Source organism: Homo sapiens, chromosome 16 (genome assembly GCF_000001405.40).
Source record: "Homo sapiens chromosome 16, GRCh38.p14 Primary Assembly".
Lineage (NCBI taxonomy): Eukaryota > Metazoa > Chordata > Mammalia > Primates > Hominidae > Homo > Homo sapiens.
The window spans coordinates 14,844,276-14,858,361 of record NC_000016.10 but is presented as its reverse complement, the minus strand read 5'-3'; the positions used below and the strand labels follow the sequence as shown (position 1 = coordinate 14,858,361).

General features: G+C 44.4%; 1 protein-coding gene across 1 annotated transcript in view; it reads right to left on the bottom strand.

The window, feature by feature from the left end:
- The window catches only part of NOMO1 (NODAL modulator 1), a 62,437-nt gene that overhangs the window by 37,796 nt on the left and 10,555 nt on the right, over window positions 1-14,086 (bottom strand). The window contains exons 4-11 of the mRNA NM_014287.4: window positions 13,588-13,688; window positions 11,679-11,785; window positions 9,391-9,463; window positions 5,780-5,932; window positions 4,758-4,895; window positions 4,336-4,425; window positions 1,040-1,145; window positions 707-857 (exon numbers count right to left, since the gene is read on the bottom strand). Of these exons, the coding sequence (NP_055102.3) occupies window positions 707-857; window positions 1,040-1,145; window positions 4,336-4,425; window positions 4,758-4,895; window positions 5,780-5,932; window positions 9,391-9,463; window positions 11,679-11,785; window positions 13,588-13,688 (919 nt within the window). The remainder of the gene's footprint in view (window positions 1-706; window positions 858-1,039; window positions 1,146-4,335; window positions 4,426-4,757; window positions 4,896-5,779; window positions 5,933-9,390; window positions 9,464-11,678; window positions 11,786-13,587; window positions 13,689-14,086) is intronic.

Here is a 14,086-nt window from a genome sequence, read left to right as displayed (position 1 = left end):
AGATGTCCCTGCCTGTACTTATAGTATAATGAGTAACTACAAGCAGGAAGAACTACACCAATGACCTGAAGCATCTTCCAATAAGCTTTCTCAACCAACAATACCATCTTCCAAAAATCCTCAAAGATTAAGCAAAGAGGGGTCCTGTGAAAGATCGTGAAAGTCAGACATGAAAGATTTTTTAATTTCACAAGCCCATTTTAATTTGAAGCAAGGGACTTTTCATTAAGCATCCGACATGTCAGTACCTTCAGTTTGTAAGATTTAGAACTAATCTTTCTTGGCCGGGTGCAGTGTCTCACACCTATAATCCCAGCACTTTGGGAGGCCAAAGCAGGCAGACAGCCTGAGGTTAGGAGTTTTGAGACTAGCCTGGACAACATATAGTGAAACCCTGTCTCTACTAAAAAATACAAAAATTAGCTGGGTGTGGTGGGGCACGCCTGTAGTCCCAGCTACTTGGGAAGCTGAGGCAGGAGAATCACTTGAACCTGGGAGGCAGAGGTTGCAGTGAGTCGAGATGGCACCACTGCACTACAGCCTGGGCAACAGGGCAAGACTCTGTCTCTCAAAAAAAAAAAAAAAAAAGTACTAATCTTTCTTAAGTTCTTAAGCTCGGCAAAGACACACAGATCACAGGTCATTCGGTTCTACACTGGCTGCCAGCATATTTACTGGCGCTTCCAAATCCACACGATAAGCTTACCCTGTTGCAATAATGTCAGCCAGCTGAGGTGTGTTCGGTGCAATTTTGATGGTGACCGTTTCAAAGTAGAGGTGCTCTTTCTGAGCATGGATGGTGTATGTCCCTGTGGTTATGTTCTCAAGGCGGAATGAGCCATCAGCTTTTGTTTTAACTGTAAAACAAAAACACACAAACAGAAGATAAGCCAAAAACAACAGTGTATCCTTACATGTACACCAGAATACTTGGACCAAAAGCTGCCATGTTCTCATATAGTCATCAGTTCCTCTCCATTTCTCTCTGTGATCCAAAAAGAGCGCTGGCCATCAGCCTGGGGCTGCTGTGTCAGCCCACCTTTGATTTGGTTATTCAGGGTGACTACTGCTTCTGGAACACCATCTCCTTCGGGTCCGTTCAAGACCCTCCCGGTGACGGAGAATCCCATGACGTGGAACACGGGCTAGAAAACAAAGAACAAGAAGAAGGTGCTCGAAGGTGCTCCTGTGCCAGAGCCACAAAGACTCCTTCTGCTGCGCCGGCCACCACCTACCATGTCTGCTCCTGCCGCCCACCTCCCAACACTCAGTGCCCCGGTCCTGTGTGCCAGCCAGGCTCCCTCTCACTTTACCCACATCTGTCTTCTCTGTTGTGTTCCCAACACACTGCTGAGTGTCAAACAACAGAAAAGTCTAGAGACTTACTTCCCTCGTTAAAAGGTCACTGACTCAAGCTTCTAGAAGCCCCCCACCCTTACCCCGGTGCCATCTCCTCCCCTCCAGATGCCCCCATTTTGGTGAACCACGTCTTCCTCCAGTCTCCCATGCACACCCCGGCATCACTTTGGATGCCCCGCCCCGCTCCTCCAGCATCGATCAGTCCTGTGGATTCCACCTCTGCAAGGTCTCACGTGCCCCCTCCTGTCTTTCCACCACGACCTGAACACAGGTCCTTATGAAATCCACCTAGGCCAGGCGCAGTGGTTCACGCCTGTAATCCCAGCACTTTGGGAGGCCGAGGCAGGCAGATCACTTGAGGTCAGGAGTCCAAGACCAGCCTAGCCAACATGGTGAAGCCCTGTCTCCACTAAAAATACAAAAATTAGCCAGGTGTGGTGGCAGGCGCCTGTAATCCCAGCTACTCGGGAGGCTGAGGCAGGAGAATCGCTTCAACTCGGGATGCGGAGGTTGCAGTGAGCCAAGACAGTGCCAGCCTGTGTGACGCAGCAAGACTCTGTCTCAAAGAAAAAAAAAGAAATCCACCTAGACCACCCTCCTCCACCACCATCACTGGCTCACACGTGGTCCCATGCTCCATGTGTCTGTGTCTGTGTCTGTGCCCCACTCGCCTGTGAGCAGCACACCGGTGCTTTCTCTGCAGTTACTGAGTTCCAGCCCTGATCTGTGTATCCCCAAGGTCACCACTGCTAACCCATTTTAGTATCTTCATCAAACTTACCAGTATCTGAAATGTCCTCGTTCGATTTCTTAGTTGTCTCCCTCCCACTAGCATGTTACCTCATGGAGACAGGGATTTTTTCTGTCTTAGTCACCTGGTACACAGCAGGCACTCAATAACTGACTCCTGAATGAATGAATGTGTGCACGCACGTGTGCAACAGCATTTGAGATGAAGCTTTAAATAATTAAATGACTTCCTTTTTATGCAGGGAGCCCTTCTTTTTTATTTTTTTATTTTTTTTTCAGCAAATGGTTTCTTAGTGATGGTCTCACATGACAGGTAGTCCTTCTTGATCTTTCCAAAAAGACATGTTTCATTCCATGCATTACCTACTTATTAATTCACATATGTACTCAACAAATATTTTTGCTGGGCACCTACTATGTGCCAGGCACTAAATCACACGTTAGGAAAACAGTAAAGAATAAGACACGGTACCTGACCTCAGGGAACTTACAGGGCCCCATTCCCTGAAATTCCATTCATCATTTTCAAAATATGTATTTGGCTGTAATCTGGGAATAGCTGTCTCTGCTCACCTGCCCCCATCCTTCTCTGCAAGCTATGAGAAGCAAAGTAAAGGCTTCATCTTCTTACCCTTCTCTTTCCCCTCCAGTGTACAGCAGAACGGTCAAACACTCCACTGAATCTTAAAATGCAGAGTCTGCACCCCACTGTGCATATGACCTAAAAGTCCGCTTCTGCCAGTTTAAGCGATTTTAACACAGTACTTTCAAATGTAATATTAAAAGAAAGTGATTAAAATATAATTGCTTCGATAACTCTAACATTGGGTGGTCCACTTAGGAGAGGCTGTTATTTTCTTTTGGGATTTGTTCTAGCTAGCCAATTTTCTACAGTAACCATTTTCTACTTCTGTAATTAAAGGAGACGTAAGTGAGATGAAAAATACATTTACCATTTATGTGAGGGTCTAGGCAGTTTATCAAGCCATGTATCACACTGCCCATTCCTACCACCACGGTCCAAGCTCTGCCAGTTCTCACCTGGTTTACGGCCATGGCATCCCAACTGGTCTCCCACTTCCACCCTGACACCCTGCAAACTCTCCTCAATGCAGCTGCCAGAAGGATCACGCCACTCCTCTGCTAGGAACCTTCCAGTGGCACCAATTCTCACCCAGAGTTATAGGCAAAGTGGCCCACCAAGCCCTGCACAATCTGCCCTGTCACCTCCCTGACCCTCTTTCCGCCTCCTCCTTCCTTGCTCATTCCCTCCACTCCAGCCACCCTGGCCTCCTTGGGATGCCCCAAACCCTTCAGCACACTCCTGCCTCAGGACCTTTGCACGTGCCGTTCCCTCAGTCTTACACACTCTTCCTGCAGGAGTGAAGTATGGTTCTCTTGTTCTTTCCCTTCAGGTTGTTGCTCAAATGTCACCTTCACAGGGAGGACTTCCCAAAAACACCCTATGTACAACTGCAACCCCTGTCTCCACCCTGATACTGTACGACCTCCTTTCTTCCTTTATTTTTCTAGAGAACACTTATCACCTTCTACTGTACTTTCTAACTTATACATCTATACATGTATTGACCCTTCCTGTCATTAGAAAATGAGGTCTAGCCAGGTGCGATGGCTCACACCTGTAATCCCAACACTTTGGGAAGCCGAGGCAGGCAGATCACTTGAACCCAGGAGTTAGAGAACAGCCTGGGCAACATGGTGAAACCCCATCTCTAACAAAAATACAAAAATTAGCTGGGCATGGTGGCACGTGCCTGTGGTCCCAGCTACTCAACAGGCTGAGGTGGGAGGATCACTTGAGCCCTGGAGGCAATGGCTGCAGTGAGATGAGATCGTACCACTGCACTCCAGCTTGAGCCACACAGTGAGACCCTATCTTAAAAAAAAAAAAAAAAAAAATGAGGTCCACAGGGACAAGAATTTTTGCCTCTTTTGGTCACTGCTATATCCCCAGTCCTGGAATGGTGCCTGAAATGCATGTCACTGGCAATCAATAAATATATTTCATTGAATGAGTAGATTTAACTAGGAATCCAGCTCTCTACGATAAGGACATCATGGGTAAGAATATAATACCAGATGGCATTTTTTCCAACAGCCCTTCCAGATAAAATAATTGATTTTTTTTTAAAACATGTTTGCAATACCTGTGCCTAGGGATGGGAACTCAAACACCTGTCCCTCCAGAAGACAGAAAAGCCTTACCTCGATTTTCAAGCTGTCATGCTCCACTGTGAAGTCAAGTCTGGAAGGCGCCACATCAAAGGTAATCCTCTCCCCTCGATAGAACGGAATCTGGAAGGAAGAGTCTGTTAATCACTAAGAACCACTAACATGATCAATCAGCAATATTAATAATCGATCTAGCAGCCCACAAATGACAAGGGGTTCAGACAGACCAAGAGAAACATTCATCATAACTGTTGCAGATTCGAAAAGAGGAAGCCTTGCCCTTTTTGTAGCTATTACGAAGGGGTGAGTGTCTCATCTTAAGTAAGTTACTGCTTAACAGCGTGTTCAGAGAACTGCAGGCCAACCATCTTTTCCTTTAACACCCAAACAGCATTGGCTTTTACTGTGTCATGAGAGTCTCAGACATAAACAGAACGGAAATCTGCTTTACTCACCACAGTGTAGCCCCCACTTGGCAAGGAATAGAAAGAGAACGAGCCATCTTCTCTGGAGACCGTGTAGCACAAATACACCAGACTCTCGTCTTGGGGCTGGAACCCAGGCACTGGTGAGACATTGCAGCCCAGGACATCCTATGCCAGGGGGTAAAAAAGACAAGACTTCCTTTTCCATTTACATGTTCTGAATACCATCAATTAGCCACATTATAGGAAAATTTTTTTAAGTTTCATGTCAATATATGTATTTCTGAAATCTAAGACACATTAATACAGATAAAAGGAACAAAAATCTTGACATTCAAGTTGCAAAGTTAAAAACTGGCACAGTCTTCCCGGGAAAGATGACATGACTGTCCTTCCTTATCATGGGTCACCATTCTCCAAATAAGGAAACGGAAGCTCAGGAAGGTAATGTGACCGGCCCAGGGTCGCATAGCTAGGAAGAGGAATTTGTTTAAACCTGAGATTTGTTTAAACCCAGGTCTGATTTCAAAGCCTGTGTACTTTCCATCACATACCACTGCCTCCCAGTGTAGATGTGCAATGTCTTGTGAGTCAACAGAGACACATGATATTCTTGAATTTTTTTTTTTTTTTTTTGAGAGTCTCACTCTGTCACCCAGGCTGGAGTGCAGTGGTGTGATCTTGGCTCACTGCAACCTCCACCTCCTGGGTTCAAGCGATTCTACTGCCTCAGCCTCCCACGCAGCTGGGACTACAGGCACGTGCCAACATGCCCGGCTAATGTTTTTGTATTTTTAGTAGAGATGGGGTTTCATAATGTTGGCCAGGCTGGTCTAAAACTCCTGACCTCAAGTGATCCACCCACCTTGGCCTCCCAAAGTGCTGGGATTACAGGCATGTGCTACCACACCCGGCCTGAGACAGACGATATTCTTAAGTGTTAAAATGATAAATCAACTCAGACCTGCATTTTTTAAAACAGTACGTTCTGGTCTATAATCCCCCACCCTCCTACCCTTCACACCATCTCTTTTGTTCTTTTCTTTGCTTACCTCTTTAGTTACTAAAGAAGAAAAGAGAAGAAACTTCACGCCTTTCATGGGCTCCCCATCACTTCGGACAGAGCCAGACACATTGTAGCCAGCAACTATGAGGGGACTGGCCGCATTGGCATTGGAGTTGGTTACACGCACTGTGGTGCTTGCCTGTAACAGAAAAAGATTTTAACCTGTAAAAAAATAAACACTTGCAAAGTGCCTAACAACATGAGGACATGCTGAAGCTAAAATATTAACTGGGAAACGTAATCTATAAAATTGCTTATTCAGTATGATCACTTCTTTTCTTGAGACGGAGTCTCAGTATGTCACACAGGCTTGAGTGCAATGGTGCAACCTCGGCTCACTGCAACCTCTGCCTCCTGGGTTCAAGAGATTCTCCTGCCTCAGCCTCCCAAGTAGCGGGGATTACAAGTGCTCGCCACCACGCCCGGCTAATTTTTGTATTTTTAGTAGAGACAGGGTTTCACCGTGTTGGCCAGGCTGGTCTCGAACTCCTGACCTCAGGTGATCCGCCCGCCTCAGCCTCCCAAAGTGCTGGGATTACAGGTGTGAGCCACCGTGCCTGGCTTATCATTATTTTTTAATGCCCAAAATGAAGTGAAAGGAAATGTGGCAAAATGTAAACAATAATGATTTTGTCTATATGGTGCTATTTTACTTGTATACTTTTCCAGCTTCCAAAATTTGTTTCCACTGCTTTATATTCCTCTATATGTTCCAATTTTTTTAATGAGCATATTTTGCCTTTTTTTCTATTTTTAATGATATATAGTGTTAACTGAAGATTAGCCTAAAGCTGCCTCCTTACATATTTTAAGTTTGGCCTAAAGGTTTATCTGTACGTGTTGCCAAGTCTCACCCAATTCAAGCAGCCACCCTTCAACTACTCACAGGCAGCCAACTGTTCAAACCATGTGCAAATAAGACAAACGTCCAGCTGTAACCAATCCAACTGTTTCTGTACCTCACTTCCACTTTCTGTCCGTCACTTTCTTTTTCTGTCCATAAACCCTTTCCAATCACGCAACAGTGCCACAGTCGCTGTAAACCTATTCTGGCTCAGGGAGCTGCCCAATTGACAAATTGTTCTATGCTCAATTAAACTCTGTTTAATTTGCCTTAAGTTGTTCTTTTCACAATATGTGTATATTTTTAAACATTTTTGTTAAGGTACAATAAACACAGAGAAAAGTGTACAGATTCTAAGCACACAGCACAGGGCTTGTCACAAATTGGGTACTGGTTACCCAACAGAATAGCACCAGCAAGCCAGAAGTGCCCTCACACTTGCTTCCGGTCACTAACACCCCAGGAGGATAAACATTATCCTGACTTCTAACAACATGCTTTACTTGAAAATCCCAATCTCATATTAATAAACTCAGATTCTTCTATGCAGACAATTAACATACAATGTAAACCTTAAAATCTCTTCTATTTATAAATGTGTAAGCTCTTTCATTTCGAATAAATTTTTTTTTTTTTTTTTTGAGATGGAGTCTCACTCTGTCACCCAAGCTGAAGTGCAGTGGTGCAATCTTGGCTCACTGCTACCTCCACCTCCCAGGTTCAAGCGATTCTCCTGCCTCAGCCTCCCGAGTAGCTGGGATTACAGGTGTATGCCACCATTCCTGGCTAATTTTTTTCTATTTTTAGTAGAGATGCGGTTTCACCATGTTGGCCAGGTTGGTCTCAAACTCCTGACCTCAAGTGATCCACCCACCTCAGCCTCCCAAAATGCTGGAATTACAGCATGAGCAACTGCGCCCAGCCTTGAATAAAATATTTTTAAATGTTGCTGCAGAAGAGAAAAACCCCCAAAACCAAAAGTCATAAACAGTAAGAAGAGAATCTAGGTGTGAAACTATCATCAATTATAAGTGCGTAAAACCTACAGAGTAAAAATAATAATAAAACAGATAGAGTAGAAGCTGAAATACTGATTCCAATGCTTCTTTAGCAAAAATGAGATACAGCTTCAATACTAACACAGAAGCTAACATGTCAAGATGTCCCTTAAGTCTTATTTCAATTTGGTCTTTCACGGCTATTACAGAACCTCACCTACTAGGTGGAGTTCCTTTTTTGATCTTTGACTATAAACTATTTCAGTCAAACAAAAAAAGATATGCTAAAGAACACTTACATACCTTCTAACCAGCTAAAGAAATTTAAAAAAATACAATTCAAGATGCTGGCATACCCCGAAGTCCCCCTCCTCCCTCTTTCTCTAGAAGTCAGTATCATTTTGAACAGCGTCTGCTATTCCCATACATGTCTTCATAATTTTTCTACATAAGACTGTATCCTCCCTGTCCCTACTAAAAATACAAAAATTAACTGGGCATGGTGGCAGGCACCTGTAACCCCAGCTACTCAGGAGGCTGAGGCAGGAGAATCGCTTGAACCCAAGAGGCGGAGGTTGCAATGAGCCGAGATCGCCCCATTGCACTCCAGCCTGGGCAACAAGAGCAAGACTTCATCTCAAAAAAAAAAAAGACTGTATCCTTAGCTAGGGGCAGTGGCACATGCCTGCAGTTCCAGATCCTTGGGAAGCCAAGGTGAAGGATCGCTTAAGGCCAGGAACCAGAGGCTGCAATGAGCCATGAATATGTCACTGTACTCTAGCCTGGGCAACAGAGCAAGACCCTGTTGCAAAAAAAAAAAAAAAAAAAAAGACTGTATCTGGCCGAGTGCACTGGTTTATACCTGTAATCCCACCACTTTGAGAGCCCGAGGCTGGTGGATCATTTGAGGCTAGGAGTTCGAGACCAGCCTGGCCAACATGGCAAAATCCCATATATACTAAAAATACAAAAATTAGCTGGGCGTGGTGGCACATCCCTGTAATTCAGCTGCTCAGGAGACTGAAGCCGGAGACTCGCTTGGACACAGAAGGCCGAGGTTGCAATAAGCCAAGATCATGCCACTGCACTCCAGTCTTGGCAACAGAGCGAGACTCCGTCTTTAAAAAAAAAAAAAAAAAAAGACTGTATCCATAAATGATTATCACAAGTATTTAAAATCATATTTCCTTCAACTCTGTTTTTAAATGTAGTTACATTGATATATGTAGCTCTGGTTCATTCATTACTGCTGACATACAGCAGCCTATTGTATGATGGAACCCCAATCCATTCTTCTCTTAAAAGGCATTTAGGTTGTTTACAATATTTTGCTATTACAAACAAAGCTGCAATAAACATTCTCATACATTCTCCTTGGTCACGCGTACCACAGTTTCTAGAATGTTTAGTATATTTACAGATTTCTGTTTCAGGCTGAAAAAAGAACAACAAATAAATCTCGTCAGGGCCTTCTGTTGTTGATTTAGTTTAAAATAGCTATAGTTAATAAAACAGATCTATTTCACAGCAGGAAGACAACACTGTCACCTAAAACTGAAACTAACACAAGCAACATCTGCTACAGTGAGGAGTTACACCTTATAAATAACTACCAAACTAAACAACAGCACCATTGGTTCTTCATCTAGTCCTGGAGGAACCATAAATTCTTTTCATATCCTAAATTGAAAAGCCCTACATTTGTCCCAAGACCAGCATATTATTGGCATGGCTATAGACGTAGCTGTCACTCACCTCTTTCAACGCCCAGGTTGGATGAGTTGCGAGGATTTCATAATCTCCAGGCAGAACTTTAAAAAATGCAAACCTAAGACATAAAAAATAACCATTTAACTTTCTCCAAACAACCCAAGTATTTCTAATTCTATGACTAATGTTGGCAGCACAAGAAAACAATGTTGGAATTATCGCAAACTTCCATTAGCTTGTTAAATGAGCATGAATGAAATTCAATCCTTCACTGTACAAATCTGCATAAAAGAGCGCTTATTGAGCACTTACTGTGTGCCAAGAGGGGTGCTCCATGTGCTGATCGGAAAGAGGAGTGCTTACGTCTCCCTTAATCTCAAGGATTTCTGGCATAAAACCAATCCTTGCAGCACAGCAGGGACCAGTCACAGAACATTCGACTGGGTTTGACAGAGGTGACAGGCATGAACTGACAAGGAGAAGGGGACAGAAGTGTCCAAGGAAACACATGGGAAGGGAGAAGTGGGGTGAAAAAGAACAGAACAGATGCACAGGCTGAGGGGGACGCTGACCCAAGATGATGCAAATGACACAGGGCAGGGTAAACTATGATAAGCTTTGAATCCCAGAAAAAAGGCTTTAGAGAAACACAGATAAGTCATTCTGGGTTTTTGCACAAAGCAACTGAGATAAGAAACCAGCAGCTGATGAAAATTACTCTACTAGCCATAGACAGACTAACACCAGAGTGAGCCGAGCTAAAGCTGGAAATGCTGCTGCCAGTATACTAACATGTTTATCCCTTCAAATTTGTAAGGCAACTGACAAATGAGAAGGCTAAGTCCGGTGAAATGAACTAGAAAACGCATTTGATTTCTTCTTCTGTGGTATTTTATTGTGTCAAATCTTGCCTGCAATAACTGGATAGGGCTTGGAAATCACATTACTACAAGTATTGGTAAGATTGAGCTTCTATTTCATTTTCATAATAGCCCAGTGCTACATGTTTCATTGTTTCAGTTAGTGCAGATGAAAGGTATTCAGAAGGCTCAAGACACTATTTTTTTCTAGTAAGGTCAACACCAAATTACTAGCCCAGAAAAAAAATTACAGCTTCATATTCCTGCTACACACCAGGCCTGGAGAGGCACCAGTCAAGCAGAAGTAAATGTTATTTCAAAAATGAAAACTAGTTTCAACAATAATAACTTTAAAATTGAATAACTTACTGACAGACTCATTATAAACTTCTATTTTGCAATTTACTTAGTTTGTATATTAACGGAGTTAGTAATGATTTGAACGCTTTCGGAATTATCAGTTTGAACTATTCTGGTATTAATCTTGGCATATCTGTTAACATTTACAACTCAACTATATACATCCATTAAATAAATGCTTTAAATCTGACTCAGCAAGGTCAGCTAGGCATCTGTTCCAACTACAAAGCAGTTTTGATATAATAATGATAATGATTTTTTCTAATCATAACTGAGCTAACCTATTTGAGCTAATATGCCAGGCAGCTTGAAGTAATAATATTAATTTCATCTTTCCAGTACCTTAGGAGATAGGTTCCACAATTATCTTCATTTACAAAAGAGGAAACTGAGGCACAGAGGGGTTAAGGAACTTGCCCTAGGTCAACCAGCCAGCAAATGGGGGAGCTGGGATTCAAGCCCGGGCTGGCAGGCTCCAGAGCCAGGCTGAGCTGCTAAATGAAGACCCACTAAGCCCCAGGCCTTGAAGCAGGTGCTTTATGGGTATTAACTCTTTTTTTGTTTGTTTCAGACAGGGTCTTGCTCTGCTGCCGAGGCTGGAGCACAGTGGCACATGATCACGGCTCACCGCAGCCTCAACCTTCCAGGCTCAAGCAATCCTCCCGCCTCAGCCTCCCGAGTAGCTGCGACCACAGAAGCATGCCACCACACCCAGCTAATTTTCTTCCCCCGTGGGACTCTACTTGATATAATTTTTTAAATTATTTGTGGAGATTGAGTCTCCCTAAGTTGTCCAGGCTGGTCTCGAACTCCTGAACTCAAGTGATCCTCCCATCCTGGCCTCCCAAAGTGCTGGCATTATAGGCGCAAGCCAATATGCCTGGCCAGTATGAACTCATATTTAATCATCTCATCAATGCTAGGCAAGATGGGTCAAATGGATTCCATTTCACATGTGGGGAACTCAGCACTCTGACGGGCATGAACTCACCCAAAGAGGCTGAATCAGGATCTGAACCCAGAACTCCCTGAATCCAAACTCCCAAACCCAGCTCCATGACCCCTGTCAGAGCCCGGCTCTAAGGCAACACTAAGAGACAGGACGCTACTCACTTTCCGCCAGGCTGTGTAACTGTGGACTGGATCTTTGCTTCGGTCCCAGTGTTTCTCAGAGACACCTGAACTCCCGCAGGACCCAGGGGCTGCCCTTTGCTGAGGACCTGCCATGGAGAAGAAAGTTAGGGCCCACCCAGCAAAGCACCCTCCTCTCAAAGCACTGGCAGTCCTGCTTACAACTCCCAGGTGGAGCCCAGGAACCCTCTTTGGGTCAAGAATCCCATTGAAAAGATGCTATAAATCATGGATATGTTTCCTGGGGATGAGGTAGGAGAGGGAACAGTAACAGTAAAATAAGACTCTATTTCAATGAATCTAAGACATCATCAGTTATAGATTCACCATTATTGGTCTGGGCGGGTGTGGTGGTTCACGCCTGTAATCCTAGCACTTTGGGAGGCTGAGGCAGGCAGACCACTTGAGGTCAGGAGTTTGAGACCAGCCTGGCCAACATGGTGAAACCCTGTCTCTACTAAAAATACAAAAATTAGCTGGGCGTCATGGCACATGCTTGTAATCCCAGCTACTCCTGAGGCTGAGGCAGGAGAATCACTTGAACCCAGGAGGCGGAGGTTGCAGTAAGCTGCAATCGCGCCACTGCACTCCAGCCTGGGCGACAGAGGGAGACTCCATCTTAAAAAAAAAAAAAAAAAAAAGTAAATGTACATAAAAATAAAAATATAAAAATTAGCTGGGTCAGGTGGCACACGCCTGTAATCCCAGCTACTGGGGAGGCTGAGGCAGGAGAATTGCTCGAACCCAGGAGGCGGAGGTTGTGGTGAGAGAGACTGCGCTACTGCACTCCAGCTTAGGCCACAGAGCGAGACTCTGTCTCAAAAAAATAAATAAATAAAAATAAAAATAAAAAAAGATTCACCATTATTTTGCAAACCATCGATAAAGAAAAAACTACCCAAGATCCCCATCTCTAACAAGAAGCCCACACATACAGCTGGGATGGAAGGGCCTCCCCGTCACCGCAAAGGTAGAGGAGAAAGAAGTCCATCATGAAGAGAAGGACAGGAAGGAAGGAAGCACATCTCAACCGCAGGCACAGGGCAGGTGGAGGAGAAATGACTCTCCCCTGAGAATCTGAATCGCGGGAGCTGGGCACACACCCATTAGGACTCTAAATTCACACCACCGTGGCGGTCCAAAAAAATCTCAGAACTTAAATAATAGGAATCCTCCTAGGTAAGTGTCAGAAGCAGATGCATGCTCTCTCTGGGAGAAGCTGACTTCAATTCACCCACAGGGACAGCAAGATGCCACAAGGCTTAGAGAGTGCGTCCTTCCAATTCGGCATCCCTGTAAAAGGCCATCCCTGACATAAACGCTAACAGCGGCTGGGTGCACAGCGTACACCTGTAATCCCAGCACTATGGGAAGTGGAGGCAGGCGGATCACCTGAGGTCAGGAGTTTGAGACCAGCCTGGCCAACACAGCAGAAGCCCATCTCTGCTGAAAATACAAAAATTAGCCAGGCATGGTGGCACACACTTGTAATCCTAGCTACTCGGGAGGGTGAAGGAGCGGGAGGGTGAGGCAGGAGAATCACTTGAACCTGGGAGGTGGAGGCTGCAGTGAGTCAAGATTGCACCACTGCACTCCAGCCTGGGCAACAGAGCAAGACCCTGTCTCAAAATAAAAAATAAAAAAATAAAAACACCAACAGCCTATGCTCTGGGAGCAGAGGGGATGACCAGCAACCTCAATCTCATTCCTAAATACACCTGCTGCGTTCTACACGGATGAAGTACAGAGTTCACAGGCTCACTTGCCACTTATCCATGGGTCCCTTGTGGGATCAAAGTCCCCAGGTTAAAATATCCTGCATTTTTTTAAAAAAGGATTTAGTATACATTATAGAGTGAACAGGAAAAATAATCAAGTTCCAAAGACAAACCTTGCCATTCACAGAGAACCCAGTGAAGACAAAGTTGATGTCCCCACCCTTTGTGCAGATGTCACTGACTCCATCCACATGGAGCTCCACGGTCGTCGGCTCTGAGGAACGAAGCAGGGGAGGAAACCGGGGCACAAGACACAAAGGCAAGCTTAGTTTTGGGGTACAGTGAACCTAAGTAGAACGTATTTTTATTATTCAGGTTTCATTTTACTTTTGAACACTTAATACACTCGTGTGTTTCCAAATCCAAAGGTACAAAAAAGTATTCTGGGAAAAGTCTCCCTCTCACCCCTATCCCCCTAGCCTCCTGGTTTCCTGCCCCAGAGGGAATTCGTGTTTAGAGTATAAAATAATTTTACAACGCCTTTCAGCTAAGTTATATCTCAGAGTTCCAGTGAAAATTCAGTGAGCACCAAATAATTTTATTTCCTGAATGCTCATCAACGACCAGGCACTGAGCTGAGTGCCTTTAATCCTCACAATTATCTTAAGAGAC